General features: G+C 57.1%; 1 protein-coding gene across 7 annotated transcripts in view, besides 6 other annotated features; it reads right to left on the bottom strand.

Moving 5' to 3' along the window:
* LHPP (phospholysine phosphohistidine inorganic pyrophosphate phosphatase) overlaps window positions 1–20280 on the bottom strand; it is a 152319-nt gene that overhangs the window by 58353 nt on the left and 73686 nt on the right. For 2 of the 7 annotated variants that reach the window (XM_017016509.2, XM_017016512.2), the window contains one exon: window positions 1653–1858. The exons of the other annotated variants lie outside the window; for them this stretch is intronic. In XM_017016509.2, the coding sequence (XP_016871998.1) occupies window positions 1653–1858 (206 nt within the window). The remainder of the gene's footprint in view (window positions 1–1652; window positions 1859–20280) is intronic. 7 annotated transcript variants of the gene reach the window in all.
* Window positions 4473–4642: an enhancer, noted in NCBI's record as "experimental_10871 CRE fragment used in MPRA reporter constructs". NCBI's record gives its function as "activates a minimal promoter by MPRAs in K562 erythroleukemia cells, with activity observed for both the introgressed and non-introgressed 10:126239801 variant alleles {active_cell/tissue: K562}" and the evidence as "EXISTENCE:reporter gene assay evidence [ECO:0000049][PMID:34662402]".
* Window positions 4473–4653: a biological region, named in NCBI's record as "Neanderthal introgressed variant-containing enhancers experimental_10870 and experimental_10871".
* Window positions 4484–4653: an enhancer, noted in NCBI's record as "experimental_10870 CRE fragment used in MPRA reporter constructs". NCBI's record gives its function as "activates a minimal promoter by MPRAs in K562 erythroleukemia cells, with activity observed for both the introgressed and non-introgressed 10:126239790 variant alleles {active_cell/tissue: K562}" and the evidence as "EXISTENCE:reporter gene assay evidence [ECO:0000049][PMID:34662402]".
* Window positions 7704–7873: an enhancer, noted in NCBI's record as "experimental_10867 CRE fragment used in MPRA reporter constructs". NCBI's record gives its function as "activates a minimal promoter by MPRAs in K562 erythroleukemia cells, with activity observed for both the introgressed and non-introgressed 10:126236570 variant alleles {active_cell/tissue: K562}" and the evidence as "EXISTENCE:reporter gene assay evidence [ECO:0000049][PMID:34662402]".
* Window positions 11007–11166: an enhancer, noted in NCBI's record as "active region_4167". NCBI's record gives its function as "activates an Ori minimal core promoter by ATAC-STARR-seq in GM12878 lymphoblastoid cells {active_cell/tissue: GM12878}" and the evidence as "EXISTENCE:reporter gene assay evidence [ECO:0000049][PMID:35858748]".
* Window positions 15452–15952: an enhancer, noted in NCBI's record as "H3K27ac-H3K4me1 hESC enhancer chr10:126228406-126228906 (GRCh37/hg19 assembly coordinates)". NCBI's record gives its function as "activates a minimal SCP1, AML or CMV promoter by ChIP-STARR-seq in naive H9 embryonic stem cells {active_cell/tissue: H9 hESC(naive)}" and the evidence as "EXISTENCE:reporter gene assay evidence [ECO:0000049][PMID:30033119]".

Genomic DNA, 20280 nt, shown 5'->3' with positions numbered 1-20280 from the left:
TAAGAAAAAATGCAAACTATTATATTGAATTTTTTTTTGAAAAATAAAGAGCCTAACAGTCAAGATAGACAAAGTACCTTAAAGCAACTAGAAAATCAGATAAAATATATGAAACAATGACATTCAGGCCCCGCACACCAGGCAGCGCAGGACTGTGGGCCTAGAAAGGAGGGACTCCAATAAGGCCAGCCCTACAGGTGCCCTCTGCAGAGCAAGGTCCCCCATGCTGACCTCACAGCTGGGGGACCCTTCCCAGGCTGTGGGAGGGTCCAGGGAGATCAGACGGGGACACAGGTTGGGTGGGTAGCACAGGGTGTACTGCAAAGCGCTGACACACCAGGACCCAGCCGGGCTTTGGACAAGTGGGGAGGGCCAGGCCCTGTAAGGCAGGGACCCTCCCTTCCTCCCTTCCTCCAGGGAGGAGCTGTGCCTTGTAGAGCCCCCATCTCACTCTAGGGTCTCCCAGACTACAGTGCTCACTCGCCCTGGCAAGGGTGCCTCCTGCAGGCCTGTGGCTGTGGTCCAGCCAGGAGTTCGCCCACCCTGCCTGTTCTCCACTACTGGGCTGAGGGAAACATTGACACACTCACCCCTCACCCATCCCCACTGGCCCACCCAGGAAGAGAGCAAAGGGGTCAGGGCCTCCACTCGGGAGGCAGAGAGCACAGTGGTGTTGAGAATGGCTGGCTTCAAATCCTGGCCCAGCTGCCCTCTCGCTGGACGTACTCAAACCAGTGATTCAGCCTCTCTGAGCCTCAGTTTCCTCACCCTAAAGTGAGACTAAAATGCCAGCCGCATAAAGCTGCTGTTGGCAATCAGTGAATTATGTCTGTGCAGTGTTTAGCCCAGAGGCTAAGAGCACACAGCAGGTGCTCAATAAATGACAGCCGCAATTATGAACAATCTCCTGTCCACATTTGCCTCATTCCTTCGTTAAAGAACCTAATTCTGTCTAGAAATATCTGCCAGAGTTGCAAAGTCTTTGGAAAGGCCCTAAGGCCCAGAGATGGAAAAAGTGTACAGAAATGATGATGGGGCAAAAGTGAGCCCTGGGACCCGCCAAGCTAACAGCCCACCCAGGAGTAAGCGAGGTGCAGACAGCCCACCTGGCCCCGCCCACCTGGCCCCTCCCACCTGGGCCCACCCCTTCAGCTCGTCTAGGGCTGTCAATGATAGAGATGACAAGGACAGCAGCAGCAGCATTAATGAAGCAGTGGCTCTGCACCGGGCACTAGGCTAAGCACTGCATGCACATTATTAAACTGCCATATCCCATTATAGAAACTGAGTCCAGGCCGGGTGTAGTGGCTCATGCCTGTAATCCCAGTATTTTGGAAGGCCAAGGCAGGAGGATCACTTGAGCCCAGTTCAAGACCAGCCTGGGCCACACAGGGAGACCCTGTCTCTGCAAGAATTTTAAAAACTAGCCGGTGTGGTGGTGCATGCCAGTAGTCCCACCTCAGGCATGCATCCTACCCAGGAGGCGGAGGTGGGAGGATCACTTGAGTCCAGAAGGTCAAGGCTGCAGTGAGCCATGATTGCACCACTGCACTCCAGCCTAGGTGACAGAGCAAGACCCTGTCAATAAATAAATAAAATGAATAAATGAATAAATACATAATAAACTGAGTCTTAGGTTGAAAAACCTCTACCTGGCCCAGGTCGTCCCAGCTGTAAATGTCAGAGCAGGAGCTGAATCCAGGCAGCCCAGGCTGACCACCGCCCCGCAACTACAGGCTCGAGGCCTTCTTCTATCTGCAGTGGAGTCTCTCGAAGAAGACTCACATGGAGCTGTCCACAGGAGCGCCCAGTTCCCAGAGCATGGTGCCGCAAGGACAACAGGGGGGCTCTGTCCCTCCTGGAGCAGGAAAAGAACAGATGCCAACAGCTTAGCCTGTGGTAAGACAGATGTGGTGGGCCCCTTACCTCCTTCTGCAGACAGAGGAGGGGCCTGGCCCGGGGGAGGTCTCTGTGCAGCTCCCAAGGTGACAATATCACCGGGAGTCATACAACATTCAAGAATGGCTGTAGGCCGGGCGTGGTGGCTCACGCCTGTAATCCCGGCACTTTGGGAGGCCGAGGCGGGCGGATCACAAGGTCAGGAGATCGAGACCATCCTGGCTAACACGGTGAAACCCTGTCTCTACTAAAAAATACAAAAAATTAGCCAGGCGTGGTGGCGGGCACCTGTAGTCCCAGCTACTCGGGAGGCTGAGGCAGGAGAATGGCGTGAACCCGGGAGGCGGAGCTTGCAGTGAGCTGAGATTGTGCCACGGCACTCCAGCCTGGGCGACAGAGCGAGACTCCGTCTCAAAAAAAAAAAAAAAAAAAAAAAAAAAGAATGGCTGTAATCCTGGCCCTATGGTGCCGCTGTTGGGATTTTCCTGGGGTTTCAGGGCAGTCCGAGCTCAGGTGCATCCTGGCTGCAGGTGCAGGGGGTGGGCAGGAGGAAAGCCCCATATGCTCCCCACATGAGAACCCCACTTGGGTTCTGTCCCAGCTCAGCATATGGATTTCTTGTTCTCTTTCTCCAAGTTCCCCTTTGTCAGGCTGAGTCTATTGAGCCAGAAAATCAGCCGTGTTCTGGGGATGGCCAAGTCACAGGGACCTGGCTTCCCATGGTGCTGCCACTCATCAGCTGGGTCCCTGATCAGAGTCCCTGGGTGCTAAAAGCAGGCACTGACTGCCCTCCCAACATCGAGGTCCCCAGAAGGCCCCCTTGTGCAGAATAAAGACACGCTAGGAGGCCGCGGAGCGCTGAGCGGCGCTCATTATCAGCTCGGAAGGCCAGCTTAAAGGATATTCCAGTAATTGCAAGGTTTTTGGTAAATGTTAATTACGGTTGCCTTAATTAGCTCCAAACCCATTGATCTATGGATTATATTAGGTTTATAAGTGTAATTACCTTAACAGCATATGGATTACAATTACGCTCCAATTAAACCCCAAACGTATAGCATATAAATTAGTAAAGGGATCGTCCTGATTGTCCAGGATAGGCTATTGAAATGTTGCCACTTTCAGGGCCTCATGCTGGGGCTGGTCCTTTGCAGGCGGGGACCTTGGGGAATTTGGAGGTAGGGGGTTCAAATGGTCTCTGGCAGCCACGCGTCCAGTCCATCTAGACCCGATTTAGAAATGACTACAGGGGCGGGGGCTGGCAGGCCCCAGCCTGGGGGGCAGTGGCTGGAGGATTAAGAGCTGTGCCTGCTCAGCTCGTCTTCTCTCAAAGAAATCAGGACACCCAACAGCCCATTAATGATGCCCCTCACTGCTCTCCCTCCAGGTAGAGATGGCTTTCTTGCCTTGTCTGGGGGAGGGGCAGGTGCTTCTTTAGACAGCTCCATGTGGATCTGCTGTGGGGGATTCCAGTATAGACAGGAGGCCTAGAGCCTGTATGTGAGAGAGGGGTGGGTGGTGGCAGGGTGGTGATCAGCCTGGGTTGCCTGGATTCAGGGCCTGCTCTGCCACTTACAGCTGGGATGACCTTGGTCAAGTAGTTTTTCAACCTAAGACTCCGTTTCCGTAATGGGGATCCGGTAATTTAAGAATGTACATAAAGTGCTTAGCAGAGTGCCTGGTGCACCATGGCTGCTGCTGCCATTAACATCATGAACTCACTTCCAGGGTGGGGAAAGGCTGGAGGGCAAGAGCGCAGGAGGGCAGGGGCAGCCTGGAGTGCCAGGCCCTGCCATTCTCCCAGCCCCTCTTCTGACAAGCAGGAATGGGGCACTGGGAAGTCCCACGAAGCCTGGAAGACAGACAGGTGACAGGTGGAGAAGGGGAGGGGATGGACGTGCCTGTGCTCAGTGGGGAGGCTGTGATGGGCCTGAGGGTCTCAGGGCCCTGGGCCTCAGCACGGTCCCTGGTGGAAAAGCACTGTAGGAAGCTGCCACCCGGGGGCCTGCGGACATCCTGCGTGCGCCTCCGTGGTGAGGTCAGGCTGGAGCGAGGTCAGAGGTGGCAGCCCTGCTCCCCAGGGAGCCTTGCCTGGTGCTCCCCAAGGCCGGCAGGTGGAGGGGAGGGTGCCCTGCATGAACTGCCCTCCCAGCTGTGGGTCTTCTTCCCGGGGGGCCGGCCAAGCCCGCGGGTCTCAGGGGCTGCAGCTCTTCTGCTCACCCTGGCTGAGGCCTCTCCCCATCCCAGGGACCCTGGCCCCTCCGCATGGTGGGGTCCTAAAGCTCTGGGTCTCCCACTCTGGGACCCCTGCTGAGGATGGCCTCCCACCACCTGACCCTTACCTCCCCACGCACCAGCCTCCACCCCGAGGGTCCTGTGATCTGGTGAGGGAAGTGTGGGAGGGGCTGGCAGGCTCTGCCCCCCCGCCCCCACCCTGCAGAGCAGGCAGCGTGAGCAAGGAGTCCACCAGAGCCTGGGGAAGGGGTGCTGGGGTCAGTGTGAGGGCCGGGGGTGCCAAACTTGCTGATGGTGTCACCACCAAGGATGCAGAGGGAGGGGTGGAGGTGAGTCCAGAGCCCTGGGGGTGCCCAGACAGGCTTGGACCTGGGGCGTGCCCCAGCGGGATGGGATCGGGCCTCTCTGGGGCCCCAGGCGAGTTGCTCATCAGCCCAGCTGCCCTCCTTCTGCGCAGTCTCTGAGGCAGGGAGGAGGCGAGGCTGGGGGGAGCCATCTCCCCAGGAACCCCAACTTCATGGAGACACTGGTGCTAATGCTGGTGGAGGTGCCAGTGATGGCGACAGGCCTGGGGGAGGTGGTGGCTCCCATGGCCCCATTTTACAGATGGGTTGTGTAGAAACAGGCACGCAGAGACCGAACAGCTGGCCCAGGACGGCAAGGTTAGGAAGGGCTGGGCCGGGCCTCTGCACCTAGGCTGGCACAAGCGGAGCTCTAGTCCACCACCTGGACCAGCCTCCTCTGTGGGACCCAGGGCTGGTCCCTGCTGCAGAGCTTGGACGTTACCTTGGGGACACACAGGGATGGCAGGGCCGTGGGCAGGAGGGCTCAGCTGTCCCAGACCTCTGTGGGCCTGCTAGGTCCCTCCTGGCTGCCCTGGCTTCCCTGCCCCCAGCTGGCATTCCAGAGCCTCCTTTCCGGAATCGCCGCCTGGAGAGGGGAAGTGAGTCTATCTTCCCCACGATCAGCCAAGGTAGGGAAAAGGCACGGGGGACACGCCTGTGTGCACACATTTGTACACTGGTGTTCACATGAGGGACAGGAAGGGAACGGCCCTGTGCACATAAACACACTGCGCCTCTGCCCCTCTGGGGCCGCCTCCCACGCCACTGCAGCCACACCACCCGGTGCACGAACCCTCCACACCCTCCCCCACCCACACGTTTTCAGAAGTCCTAGGAAGAAACAAAAGCAGGCGCACTCACTTTGAATGCAGTGCCACAAGGCGCAGGGGCAGCGTGGGCGCAAAGGAGGACAGGCCCTCTCTCCTGACAGCCACAAGAAAGGCTGTGCCTTGTGTCGGGGGAGAAGGGGGGACAGTCACCCTCCAGCTAGTGGAAGGGCTCAACAACCAAGACGGGGGTCACCCCAGCCCCCTGCCCCGCAGCTGCCTGGGGGCAGAGGCCATAAGACACAGGTCAGGAGAGAGGGTATGAGGATGACTGTGCCGGCAGCTTACCAGGCTCCCTCGGCAAGGAGTGAGCTCCCCATCACAGGAGGTGTTCACGCCCAGTTCACAGCACGCAAAGGAGAGAAGTCCATTTGCAACGAGGAGCCTGGCTCGGAGGCCCTTAGTTCTCTAACCCCTGGGCCTCTGAGATCCAGCACTGGCTGGAAGCCTGGCCCATCCACCCTGCATGCCAAGGTCAGGACACCTGTGCCACCCAGTCCCTGCGAGGCCAGCGTCATCCTCACGGCCACCGATTACCATGCCAGGTGCTTCACAGACACGACTTCATTTTATTTAACATTCAACTAAGTAGGCATTGCCACCCCCATTTACAGATGAGAAAAGCAAGGCTCAGAAAGGTGGTCATTTGTCCCAAAGTGCCCCACTAGGCACTCAGCCAGGATTCAACCCAGGCCTCTGATTCTGGAGGCCATGCCTTTCCCGGCCATGCCCACCCCGGCCATGCCCACAGGGCCAGAGGCAGGCCCAGCCTGGCAGCCCCTTCCCCAGATGTAAGGTCCCGTCCTGCAAATCACCACCAATGGACCACCATGGCAACCCCAGATGTTGTGCTCAGATTAAGGGGAAAAAAGTAAAAAATGATTTCTTCTATGAACTGTTAAGGTTTTGCTAACAAGACTAAAGTGAAGAAAGAAAAAAGAAAGCTTTTTCAGAACCAGGGCTCAGAAATTAGGAGTTCCTTCCTTTCTCTTAAATATCCCAGTTTAGCTGATAAAATTCATTGGCCAAATCTTTTTTTTTTTTTTGAGACAGGGTCTTGCTGTGTTGTCCAGGCTGGAGTGCATGGCTACTCACAGGTGTAATCATGGTGCAACCTCGAACTCCTGAGCTCAAGTGATCCTCCTGCCTCAGCCTCCCGAGTAGCTGGGGCTACAGGTGTACACCGTCATGCCCTGCTAATTTATTTTTTTATAGAGACAGAGTCTCACTATGTTGCCCAGGCTGGTCTCAAATCCTGTGCTCAAGCAATCCTCCTGCCTTGGCCTCCCAAAGTGTTGGGAATACAGATGTGAGCCACTGTGCCTGGCTATACATTCATCAAACCTTTATGTCCACAATGCGTTGCGGAAAATTGTTTTGTGGGAAAAATCTAATTAGATTTTCACTTTAGACTTACAAGTTCCCATTCAGGTCTAACCACAAGAATCACTCTTGCCACTTAGAAGTTAATAGATGTCAAGTGTTTTGCCATGCATGTATTTATTCTACAGTGGAATGTCCCGCTGGCTGTCCCCCTTCTCCACTGTCTTGCCAGGTTAGGGAGACTTCAAGGCTACCAAGGCTGCGATCCCACCTTGGTCTGTGAGAAGGCCACAGCAGAAAGAGCTAGCCTCGGTGTCCGGGGACCCGGGCTCCTGCTGAGGCTCTGCCAGACAAGCTGTATGGCCTTGGGGAAGCCTCAGGGTTCACTGAGATCAGCCAACCTGTCCCTCGGAGCTCCATTCTCGAAGATCCACCTGCCCGCCCAGCAAGGGTCTCTACCTGGGCATCTAACAGGACTCTTGATCCCGAGGTGGTCAAAGCAGGCCCTGCTCAGTGAGCAGCATCACCTCCCATGCCCTCCTCCCACCCAGCCGTGCAGGCCAAAGCCAGGAACCCCAGAAAACATGCCTCAGCTGCAGGTGCACAGTGGGGGCCCCGAGGTAGGAGGGGGAGCAGCCTGCCGTTCTGAGACCCACCCACCTCGACAGAAGGCCTCTCTGGGGTCCAGGCTGATTGATTATGCACCGCAGACAAAAATCAGTAGAGCAAAATTGGGAACTTGGAAGGAGGTAAACAGAGCCCTCCCTCTACTGGCTATGGTGGAGCTCCCTGGAGCTCTGGGCAGGGGGTTCCGGGTAGAAAGAGAGAAGAGAGGAGTTAACACCAACCACCCAGCTCATGCGGGAGCCTGAAGGTGAAGAACCAGAGGATGGCGTTCACAGGAGGCAGAGGCAGCATGGGGCCCCCACTCATTTTACCATCACGGAAATGGCTCTGGAGTGGCCGGGCCCCAAGGGAAGCAGTCTCCCCAGCTCCAAGGCTGGCTGGATTTTTCTGAACTTTAGTGCTTACGTAGGTTTTCTGGGTGATCTTGTGGCTTGAAAAGGCTCCCCTTTACCTCCCAGGAACTCCCCTAGAGACAAAGGGAGCTTGCTGACCGGAGAACTCGGAACACACCCATCCACAGCAAACACACCCCGGCCCAGGCTCACCAGGCACAGGGGCATCAGGCGGTGGGCGGGAGCCCAGAGGCTGCCCTGCCTGGACAGGGCCATGTGGATTATTCTAAAGGGACAGTGTGGCCACCCACCTCCACTCACTGTTACAAGCCAGCATCTGAGATTATGCAATATATGTGGACAGCTGATAACCGACACTGACCACTCAGCAGTTTAGAAGCAAGGAAGTGCTGTATCACTGGAACGACATCCTGCCAGGGCCCAGGACGCCCGATGGCCCCGCTGGTCAGGGCTGGGTCCAGCCTGAGCAGCCCTCCCTCAGACTGCTTCTCCTGGCGGTGCAGGGCCAGCCCCGACCTCCACCAGGCAGCCAGAATTCCTCCGCTTTCAGGCAAGCTACAGCATCCAGGCCAGGGGCCTCGGGCTTCCAGGGAGGGGCCTTTCACTCCCCCAGCATGGCCCCAGGGAGGCCCCAGGTGGAAAAGACACCCAAGAGACGGGAGACAGAAGCTCACCCTATTTGCATGCTCACACCTCTGTGGGTGGACACTGGGGGCAGGGGGTGGGAGAACGAGCTGCAGACTCTTCTAGAACTTTCCTTTCCTCTGCAAAGCCTGACACTAATAGACTCACTCACAGAATCTAAAGTTGAAATATTTATGAGAAATTAGAAAGTTTAAAAACATGAAAATAAGTTTAAGAAAGCAATTTTTTTTGTTTGTAATGAAAAGGGGAAAAAAGGGAAACAGTCTAAACATCTGTTAACAGGGGACTGCAGGAATGAACTGGAACTCCACACCGAGGACAGGTGTGCCGCCACGACAGCTCACAGCCATCAGGAAGCACAAGGTCCTGCTTCTGCCGGTGACTTAGAAAGTGGTATCTGGGACGCACCATGAAGTGAAATGAGCAAGGTGCAAAGAGGAACAGGACAATTCCATTTCTAAAAACCAAACAGGACAACCTCCTGTGTGTGTGCGCGCGTGTGCGTGTGTGTGTGCAGAAAAAGAAGCCTGAAGGGTTAACAGAGCTAAATCTGGGTGGGAGGCGGGTTAAGAGCGGGAGAGGTGCAGAAAACATGAAAACCATAGTGAAAGAGCAGCGTGTGTGTGATGTGATATTCCCTGAAAATGTAGAATACCGAATTCTACCTGTACTATTTTTGTATCTAAAAACTGATATAAAACAAAGTAAGTACGCCTGTGGACAAACAGCAACCGAAGCATGCATGGTGAGGTGGGGAGCACGGATGATGAGGCTGGCAGGTGGGTCATAGAAAGACCTGCCTTACCCACCAAGATACAACCGCATGAGGCGGGCGCGGTGGCTCACGCCTGTAATTCCAGCACTTTGGGAGGCTGAGGCGGGCGGATCATGAGGTCAGGAGATCAAGACCATCCTGGCTAACATGGTGAAACCCCATCTCTACTAAAAATACAAAAATACAAAAAATTAGCCGGGCGTGGTGGCAGGCACCTGTAGTCCCAGCTACTCGGGAGGGTGAGGCAGGAGAATGGTGTGAACCCAGGAGGCAGAGCTTGCAGTGAGCCGAGATCGCGCCACTGCACTCCAGCCTGGGCGACAGAGTGAGACTCCGTCTCAAAAAAACAAACAAACAAACAAAAAAACATACAACCACATGAGATCATTCAGTGTCTTCTTTAGTTAATAATGGGAGCTCATAAGGAAGGGAACAACCCAGGGCCCGCCAGAGGCCTAGCACAGGCCCTTGAGAATACGTGGTGGCTGCCACCCAGCAAAGAGCACAATGTGTACAGACCTGGCACGGCCCCGGCCACAGCAGGTGCCAACAACCCTCCTACCCTGCTCACCAGCAGCCAGGGATGGTCTTGGAGAGGCGGGCGATTCTTGGGTCTGGGGCGCACCCCTTCCACCCCACCTGCAGGCGACTCTGCCTCAAAGAGCTTGTGCCCCTGCTGTGTGAAGGGGTCTTGTGCGCTTTGGCAAGGGCCTTCCCACCAGCTTGGCAGAGGGAGGGAGGGAGGGAGGACAGCATCCCAGCGAGCCCTGGGTTCTCACATCACACACCGGAAACACACACGCCTGGTCAATACCACCCCTCCCACCTCTGCTCTGAGCTCCACCAGCGCCGTGACTGTCGCCAGCCACCATTGGACTTAATGACAGCAAAAGCGCTGCATTTTCCCCCCAACTGAACTTCCCTCCCTCTTGCAGCAGAATGACAGCGTCGGCCTTTACAGACCCAAATTATGCCTGTGGTTTGTTTGTATTGATTTTGGGAAAGATTAAAAAAATCAAAAACCACAGGAGACACATTTTAAAAACTCATCTTTATCCTGCAAGCGTGCACACACACTCACATTCGCACTAACACTTCCACCCCACCCCGCCCCCTGACACACCCGCTGGGCCTTTCATGCCCACGTGGAGCTCGGCCCTTCTTCCTGCTACCTGGGAGCAGCTGCCAGCCGCTGACAGCTCAATAAGGCGCCTGCATAGTCCTGCCGCTCAGGAGGCTGCCAGGCTCGCCCACACTGCCCCTGCACAAAGACCCTCCTGCACAAAGCAGCTTCCTGCCTGGGTGCATGGGCTGCCGTGGGCACCGCTGCAGGGGCCGCCAGCACCCCCAGCTGAAAGAAAAATTTGTTTAGATGTGGCAATGACCATTCGGGGAGCTCTGAGCAGGGACCAGGCGGAAGTCTATGTTATGGGCATGATCTCAGTTCATCCTGGGATGGCCTGGGAGGTTCGCACAATACTACACCCCCACTTTCCAGACGAGGAAAGGAATGCTTAGAGAAGCGAGGGACTCAGCCGAGGCCCCGGCATCCAAACCTGGTTTTTGTCCATCTGGAGGGAGCCGCACACAGGAGCCCCCCTTCACTGCAAAGGGGCTTCGGGGCCAGCAGAGGCTGTGGCCCTGTAAGGACAGCTCTGCTCTGGGGGCGGGGGCACCAGGGAGGTGGCAGGCAGAGCTCTCTCCTAGAGAAGTTCCTCCTTCACTCAGCTCAAAGCACCCACATCCTCAGAGTGGGGCAGAGACAGGGAGACACCCACTGGGAGCCACCGTCCTCCCAGACAAGCCGAGAAAGGAAGCCCAACCCAGGCCGCCCATGCACAGCCCTGCGCACATATGCACTCGCGCCACAGTGGCCAGAACACTCGATGTGATCGCCTTCCACGTGATGGTGTCTGCACCAGGAGGGACAGCCACGCCCTGAGCAGGCCTGCTGGGCCCCCACCTCATCGCATCTGCAATCTCATCTAACACTGTGAGGTCCCGTGACGGGGGCAGCCTTCTCCCCACTTCAGAGACGAGAACACCGAGGCCCGGCCACTCAGCCGGCCACAGAGCCGAGGCTTGTGCCCAGAGCTCTGCACACGCTCTCAGCAGCCCACACAACCTCATGGTGATAAAATACAAACACAGGTGCCAGGCCTCCTGCAGGGTGAGACTGTTGGCCCAGAGGTGGATTCGGGTCTGGTGGTGAATAAAGACAGCTTGGGCTGTGTCAGCTTGAGCACGCCTGCTCCCCTGTGATCCACCCAGGATCTCAATGCCCCATACTTGTTGGGAGTGGACACTGGAGCCTGCCTGGACACCTGGCTCCCCAGGTGTCCCAGTCGTTGCCATGGCCCCTGCCAGTCTGCTCCTGACCCCTGGGGACTCTGGGCTGGCAGGCTCACCCACAGCCAAGGAATATTCATTCTGGGGAGCACAGTCCCTCCCACCCCTGGTTCCAGAGAGGGGAGGTCTTCCGCTCCATTCCCCAGAAGACACGAGATGGGGGGACCCAGCATGACTGCATGGGGGCGGACGGAGGCCTCCCCGGTGGGTGATGCCGGGTGAGGCACATACCCGTCTGTCAGATCAGTCCTGGGGAGGCTGCCCCTACCCCCTCCAGCTCTGCTGGGCTCTCAGCATCAGCCATCCGAGGGGCCTCGCAGGGTCACCCCACTGCTGTCACCAGGCTTGGCTGCGAGGCCAGGGTGCGGCAGCTCTGGGAAGGCACAATCACTGTCCCAGGAGAGGAACTGGTGAGATGCCGGCAACTCTGGGTATGAGCTTAACTCTACAACCACAGTTTATAAATCGTTGCTTTTAGTATGCATTTTTTGTTTGTTTGTTTTTTAAAAAACAGGCTGAACAAAATGCTAACTGTGGTTCCTTTTGGAAGGTGGGATTGTGGATTATTTTCTTTGTGATTTTCTGTATTTTCCAAAGAAGGCATGCATTTCTTATATTATCAGAAAAAAAAATATATTAATTTTTAAAAGAAAAAAATTGAAGGTGCCATAAAAAATGTACAAACTAGAAGGATTAATAGAATCCCAAATATATAAAGTGGCTTTTCTGTGCGCTGCTGTGCTGGGCCCAGACAGGCCCCACGGACCCCTCCACACAGCTGAGAAGTGCAAGATACAGCCCAGCCGCCGCCACCATGGGCAGCTGAACTCCTCACGGCTAGTGGCCCTGGCAACCTAGAAGTCCCATCTCCAGAAAGGCCCTGAGCCCAGAGAAGACTCCCTGTTTTGAGGCCCCAAGGCTCAGCCCTTGTGGGGCTCCCAGACCTCCGCCTTCCCAGGGCACCTCTGCCGTTCCCAGTCAGCACATCACCGCAGCCACGGTACAGCCACCTGCGCCTGCACTGTCCTCGCTGGAAAGATGGCTGTGGGATGCGGGCAGACCCCGCACCTGGGCCGACCGGGGGTGTCTAGGGGTCTGGAGGACAGGCAGTGTCTACCCTCAGGTTGGCCACAAACTCCTGTCCCTCTGGGGAGTGCGCCCTGCCAACCCCTGTGGGGGCCATACAGGAAGGAGCAGCCAGGGAGGTGGAGTCTGGGAGGATGAAGGCTTGTACTGCCCGAGCTGGAACGGGGGCATTTTCTCTCCCAGTCAACCCTCGGACAAGGCCCTGTCCAGGTATCCAGCCCCCTGACAGGTACAGCCTGAGGACCCGCTGGGCCCACACCCTGAGATGGGCATGGGTGGCAGTGAGGTGTGGCACAGCAGCCCCCACTCACAGGGCACACGCAGTGCAGGGGCAACGACAGACACTCAACCCAGAGCTGCTGCATCCCCACTGTGGCAAGAGCCATGGGCAGGCAGGGACCGGGGAGAACGACCGTGACGGGGCCTAGATGTGCAGGACCCTCAGCCTCGGTCAGGGAGACGGCTGGACACCACTGATGAAAGGCAGGCAGGCGCGTCCACAAAACCCCATGAACGTGAGGGGAGGCGAGAGGGCAGAGGGGAGAGTAGGGGCAAGGAGGCGATCAAGAAGAGGCAGCAGGGCGGGGTGAGCCCCTGGAAGGAGGCAGAGAGGTGGGCTTCTGGGAAAAATGGGCCTCCAGCCTGGCTGGGCCCCAGGGTGCACAGGGCTGGGATGGGGACCAAGGTCTTCTGGTAACTGCCCCCTCCCCCAGGCTGGTACCAGCCTGCCCCTCTCTCTGGTCCCCACCTGGGGATGCAGGAGAGCTGCAGGCTGAACTGGAGCAGGAGAAGCTCTGATGCAGGAGGCGGCTCCATTCCCCCAGCGCCCTCTCCAGTCCCAGGGAGACCCTGGACCTGAGCACACAGGCTGGAAACAGACTGCCAGGGCCCAAGTCCCACCTGCTGGCTGCATCCCCTCAGGTGGGTCCTAACCTCTCTGTGCCCTCACCTGTAGGTGGAGATGTATTCGTACCTCTCTGGCTGTTGTGCAGGTATCTGTAAACACATAAGTGCTGGATAACTTCAAGGTCAGTAAATAAGTGAAGGCGCTTGGTGGCTGAGTCCCACAGCCTGGGGTCACAGTCCGATCTGTGCAAGCCCCGTGCCCACCAGAGCCACTGAAGGCATCTGTGTTCCATGCTGGCCCGAACGCCAGCCCCAGACCCCAGACTGCCCCAGGTGCTGGTCAGCTCTAACTGCGGTCCCAGGCACAGTGGGAAGGTCATGGGGGCAAATGCAGATGGAGCCTTTGGTGAGGCAGCCACCGAGTCTGCAGGGGCTTCCAACTCCAGGAGCCTCAGCTGGAGAGGTGTCTCAGGAGAGACCCCTCAAAGCCCCCTCCTGCTGTCCGTTTCATGTCTGGACAGGGACAGCATGTGGGCACAGGGCACTCTGCGAATGACCAGATGTCAGCATCTCCCCAGGTAGGAGCTGGGGAGGCAGCACCCTTGCAGTGGGGAAGTAGGGGTGAAGGAAAGGTCACCCCATCTGGGCCGGGGCCTGGCCCGCCCAGCCCACTCCACTCTGGTCTCCAACATTGCAAATTTGTGCAAATACCATTAGAGCCCTCCCCAGTGTCCAGCGTGTTCTAAGAAGCCCTCGTAGCTTGTACTGAGGGATGACGTCATGGGAACTCCCACCCACAGAAGCCCTCCAGGGCCTCAGTGCCCCCTCGAGTGCCCAAGGCATTTGCCTAGACACACACTGTCCCCACGGGTGGTCCCAGGCTCACGCGGGGGTCCTGCAGACAGGCATGAGACTTTCGAGCCTCAGCCTGCCATTCGAGATATGCTAGGGACACCAAACGCCCAGGTGGAATTCCTCAGGGTGGCCATGAGCCGCAACTCCGTTAGGTCTGGGGCTAGCAGAGGCTGGCTCTTCTGCCACCTCAGGAACTGCATCCCATGTGGCCATTTTGAGCCACAGGCAATGTTCTTGCAAGGCAGAGAGCTCCTTCCTGGGCTCTTTCCACAATGAACGCCCGCCACAAAGCAGCCCTCGATAAAGTCAGCCTCCCTCTGATCAAGTTTGGCTCCAGCCCAAATTGTCTATCCTGGTACTGCAGGCTGGTCGTGTCGGCTGTGTCCCCCAAGCACAGTGTGCAGGGGCAGCGGCCCACCTCCAAGCTGCCTCTTGGTGACTCACCATTCTGGGTGGCTCAGAATACATCGCACTCCAGGACTCAGGCACACTGCGTGGGTATGGCAGGCTCTCCTCCGGCCATCCCAGGGCCCAGGGCCACTTTGTGATTTGGGGGGCCCCTTCCTCCATTAAAAAAGCTGTTAAATAATTTAATGGATTTTTGAATTATTATTTCTAAAGTGAGAAAAAACATTAAAACATTTTCTTTGGCCCTAAATGTTCCAGAGATATTTTCCTTCTAATTTTAAAATAAATTAAACATTTTCTTGAGCCCCTAAAGGCATCGTGTGTCCAGAACCTGCTAAAGAAGTGAGCCCAGGTTCCTCTGGATCCAACTCCCGGGAGATCTGGAGCCTAGATCTAGGGCCAGAACTTAGGAGGACTCTGCCCCCTGGTTTTGGTGGCCACCTCAGTGCAGCCTTTGGGGTCCCGGGGCCTCTGTAGGGCCGGCTGGAGAAGATGCTCTTTCTCTCTGCTGCTGCTGGAACCCTGCCTGTGAGTCAAACCATGGAGCACCGTGAACCCCAAGCCACGTTCCAGGCAGCCAAAGTGCAGGGGTGTGCGAGGCCACCCCGAGCAGCCCCGGATCCCCAGCAAAAATGTCACTCAAACTGCAAAGGCAAAACTCAGCTTAAGGGAGCAGGCCAGTGGGGCCAGGAGCACGAGGCTGTGCTGTGCCTCAGGGTGAAGGGCGCTCGGGGAAAGGGAAACTGAGAGCCGTCAGTGGGGTTGGTGGGCGAGCGGCTCCAGGCAGTGGTGAAAAGGCCCCATCCTGCGCAGCCCCCCTGGCCCTAGCCTGGCCACGAAGCAAAGCGGGAGAAACCAGGCTGGGTCCCCGGCCGCAAGTCCCTGCCGCCCCCTGGTGGGAACCCACAGCCGTGTGGACCTGGAGGGCCAGGGCAGGGCTATGTGCCTGGGCTGCAGGACCCTGCTTAGGTGGGAGCCCTCCTTGTCTCGGGAGGCCACAGCACAAGGCACACCTGCCCACCCACCCACAGCATCTCCACCGAAGCGCACAGACACAGAAACAGCACGGCGCTGCATGAACGGCTGGGCCAGGGCACCTGCAGGTAAACCCTCCCCTCCCCACGGTTATCTGGGGACCCAAGTTTCCCTAAATAATCATACTGATGAGAACACCAAGAAAATGAGCAGAAGCGGGTAACTGCTGAACCCTTGCTGTGTGCCAGGAAGTGCGGTGAGTGCTTTTGGCAGGATATCTCATTCTGGTCTCCCCAGCCGTAGGTGGTAGGTACTCTTATTATGTCTATTTTATTTTTTTGAGACAGGGTCTCGCTCTGTCGCCCAGGCTGGAGTGCAGTGGTGCAATCTCAGCTCAATGCAGCCTCAACCTTCTGGGCTCAAACAATCCTCCCACCTCAGCCTCCTGAGTAGCTGGGACTACAGGTGTGTGCCACCATGCCTGACTAATTTTTTTTTTTTTTTTTGAGACAGGGTTTTGCTCTGTCGCCCAGGCTAGAGTGCAGTGGCACGATCTCAGCTCACTGCAACCTCTACTTCCCAGGTTCAAGTGATTCTCCTGCCTCAGCCACCCGAGTAGCTGAGATTACAGGCGTGAGCCACCACGCCTGGCTAATTTTTGTATTTTTAGTAGAGGCGGTCTCGAGCTTCTGGCCTCAAGTGATCCGCTCTCCTTGGCCTCCCAAAGTGCTGGGATTACAAGCATGAGCCACCATGCCCGGCCAAATTTTTGTACTTGTAGTAGAGATGGGGTTTCGCCATGTTGCCCAGGCTGGCTTCAAACTCCTGGGCTCAAGCAATCTGCCAGCCTTGGCCTCCCAAAGTGCTGGGATTACAGGCAGGGCCACCTCACCCGGCCAACTCTGTCCATTTTAAAGATAAGGAAACTGAGGCCCGAAGTGCCCTGAGCAGGACGTGGCCTTGGGTGCTCGAGTGGCTCCGGAGCTGTGCTCATCTTAAAGATATGCCATTGCCTCCCCTTAAGCATTCCAGGTCCACACCCTGGAGAGCTCAGGACGAGGGGAGTCATTTTGGTTTCCTGATGGCAGACGAGCCACAGGAAAAACTTGGGGGTCCTCTGGTATGCCTCAGGACACCCCAGATTTCCTCAAATCACCCGATTCTCTCAATAAGAGGCCCCGAATAACCACTCTCTGCTAGAAGAAGCCCATCTGCCAACGTTGCTGCAAGCTTATTCTCTGATCCCTTGAGGCTCAACTAAAAATAATTCAACTCCTCCAATATTTAGAGAAATGAAGGGCCTTGAAATGTCAGGGAGGCAGCATAAATCCCAGGAAGTGCTTCCCTCCTCTGCCACGCCACGGCTGCAGGAGCTGAGTGGCTGTGAGAGCCTGCACTGGTCAGCAAACGTGGGCTCTGAGGACCATGACTGTCCAAGCAGTTATGACCTCTGGGCAAGTCAGAAACCACCTTGGGTCTCACTTTTCTGTAAAATGGGATGGGAGAGAAGGAGCTAGTTAATTCCCAGGATTCTCCCAGGCATGCGAGTCTCAGAACAACAAATGGACTATCTGGCAACACAATTTCATCCTCCGTCTCTTCCAGGGTCTCAGCAGCACACTCTTCATAGCAGCTGCACGGCCCAGGGCAGTGGTGTGTGGCCCCCAGGTATGGGGCCACAGCGGGCAGGGGGTCCACCCCACCACTTGGGGGGAGGGAGGCCTGTCCACTATCTCCCCTCTGGCAGGCACAAGGTGGAACAGCTCAGAACAAACAGCCTGCTGCTCCTGTGAAGCCACTGGAGTGGGCACTACAGATGCTCCACAGCATCAAAGCCTCCCTTCCTCACAAAAAACATCCCAAAGGGCTGAGAGAAGGCACCCAGGAGACCTCACTGCCAGGAAGTGGAAAGGCAGCAGCAAGGCTGGGAGCTGCTCAGGCCCAGGGAGGCTTACAGACCCCAGGGAGAGTGACCGTGGGTGGGGAGGGTGCTCAGCAAGCTCCTGAAGCCCCACATGGTGAGCCCCGCATGGTGACCCCACATGGTGACCCCGCATGGTGACCCTGCATGGTGAGACTCGCGTGGTGACCCTGCATGGTGAGACTCGTGTGGTGACCCTGCATGGTGAGACTCGCATGGTGACCCCGCATGGCGGGCCCCGCAGGTGGGAGGACCCAGCAGGTGGGTGGGCCTGGGGTGGGAGGCTCAGGGAAGGGGGCCTGGAATGGCAGTGCCTTGGGGCAGTGCTCAGTCAGAGTGGGGTCAAGGACACCACCGAACCCCCAAGAAGGTCTCCTGTCCACCATGGCCCCTTGGCCGTGTCCTTCCCTTTCAGCACACTCGTGGGCCCTGTGGCAGCACATGAAAGGGGCACAGACCCACACACATTCATAACGGGGCGACTCAAGCCAGCAGCTTGTGTCCATGCAGCCTAAATTACTCGCACCCGTGAGAGCTCCGAAGTCTCGGGTAATATCAGCCCGGCCCATGGGCACTGCAGTGGGGCCCACAGGAGCAGGAAATGGGGAAGCCAGCTCCTGGGCCACCTGGCTTTCTGGCCTCAGTTTCCTTGTCTGAGAAGCGGGGGCAGCTGAAAATGGGTGCCCTGTGGGGACTGCCTGGCTGCCATCTCTCACGAGCACGGTCCGCAGACACCATCTTGTGGGACTGGGGAAGGGCTTTGGGAAGTTTGGGGCTCATGGTGTCTGCTGCAGGCCTAGTGCTGAGCAGTGGACAGGAGTCTCCACCAGTCCCACCAGCCTTCGATGGGGCCAGCCTCCCCGCATCGCCAATGGCACAGCTTGCTCCGGGCTGGGCCCGCCTGCTGCCCGCTATCTCTGATCCCTGATTCATGAGGCCACCCACAGCTGCCAGTCCAGGTCCTCATGTCTGGCAACAAGGAGGATCTCACGGGCAGAACCCTGACACCCCCAACAGCTCACGGGCCCCCATGCACCCCACAATCACCATGCTCCCAGGATCTCTCGAGGTAGCTGGACGGTGGCTGGGGAAGCAGGGAGACTGGGCGAGTGAGGTGGGGCCGCCAGCAGCGGTGCTGGGGTCAGCCAGGCTCCGGGTGCACCAGGTTGCTGTGAATGTCTCTGATTCTCAAATTCTTTACTTAAAATCTGGAGATGATGAAATTTACCTTAAGGCTTACTGTAAATAAGGAGAAAAGTGCTTGTATGTTCCCTAGCACATTCTAAGTGCTAGATTATTCTGAAAAGATGGCTGTTACTTTTATTATTTATATATTACATATGCTGTGTTTATGATTTTTGTTGCTGGAGAGGTCGGGGAGCCTGGGCAGCCTGGCATCCCACAGCAGAGCCAGGGCTCCATTCCTTCATCTCTCAGCAGCAGAGGGACCTCAGAGAGCTTCCAACACGACCCACCAGGATGCACTGTTCTAGCCAATCCTCCCCGATCTGTCTGGTTCCCTAGGCTTGGAGCTGCCGCAGGGAATTTAAGTATCTCAGGATTCCAGAGGTCTTCTGCCAATGGCGGGGGGTCTGTCCTGCTTCCTGCCTTCAGGGGTCCCTTCCAAAATGGCACCAGGTACCCCTCCCCTCACTCTAACCTTGCAGCCCTGCCCTGCCTGTCTCTTGACATCCCCCAGCCCTCTGGCTCACAGAGCCCTCAGGGAGGTTCTTCTCTGGCTCTGGGATACACAGCAGGGTCTCTGGGCCCCAGCAGCTTGGCCTCCCTGGAGCCCAAAGCCTTGGCCTGTCCATGTCCTGCCCTGACCCACCGGGCTGGGGGCTTTCTCAGGGTGGAGGGAGAGGGGCCGGAACAATGGCCCAGCCGGGGAGCTTCCATCCAGCCTGGCTGGGGTGGCCTCGGAGCAGGAGCAGGAGTCTATTTGGGACTGCATGCGGGAACACTACCGCTTCCTCTTTCCTGGTTCCAGACAGGTTAACCCCTTCTTCTCCCTCCTGCTGACTACTGCCAGGACAAAACAAGGACTGACTTCCAGCCCCAGACAGCATCCCTGAAAGCCACAAGGCCTCTGGGCAAAATACTCGGGAGCAAGCCAAAAGGCAGGCCCAAGCCCATGGACCGCAGGGCCAGTCTGCACGCACACGCGGCAGGGGTGGAAAAGCCCGGGGACCCAGTGCCGGCCCCAGCCCCCACCTTACAGGCCTGCTCCACCCCGGCTTCCGCGTCTGTAACAGGGCAGAAGATCACTGGTTCTCAAGCCTTTCCAGTGGTTTTAAAGCAGCAGAACCTCCCACCCCAGCCCAGGGGAATCCTGCCTGGGACCCCGGAAGAGATGAGAGCTTCTCTGGCTGAATTAGGGGAGGTCCAGGGGCCCCACCTTGATCTCCCCAGTTCCCCTGAGGGAGCAGAGCAGAACTGGTGCTCAGGGGCCCACGGCCTGAGGAGCCTGAAGCAGCTGCTCTTGCAGCCCTGTGGCACTGAGCTGATTCAACAGGCCTGAGTGTCTCCTCCTGATACCTGGCCTCTGGCCCACAGGTCTTCACAGCATGCACCCCTAAAGGCCAGCAAGGTTTAAACACCCACCAGACTAGGCCAGGCATGGCGGCTCACGCCAAGCTAATTCCAGCACTTTGGGATCCCGATGTGGGAGAATCACTTGAGGCCAGGAGTTTAAGACCAGCTTGGGCAACATAGCAACAGCTTTGTCTCTACAAAAAAAAAAAAAATGTTTTTTTAATTAGCCAGGCATTGTGGCATGTGCCTATAGTCCCGGCTACTTGGGAGGCTGAGA

This window comes from Homo sapiens, chromosome 10 (genome assembly GCF_000001405.40).
Source record: "Homo sapiens chromosome 10, GRCh38.p14 Primary Assembly".
Taxonomy (NCBI): Eukaryota; Metazoa; Chordata; class Mammalia; order Primates; family Hominidae; genus Homo; species Homo sapiens.
Note: the sequence above shows the minus strand (reverse complement) of the source record. Positions and strands in the feature narration are given on the sequence as shown.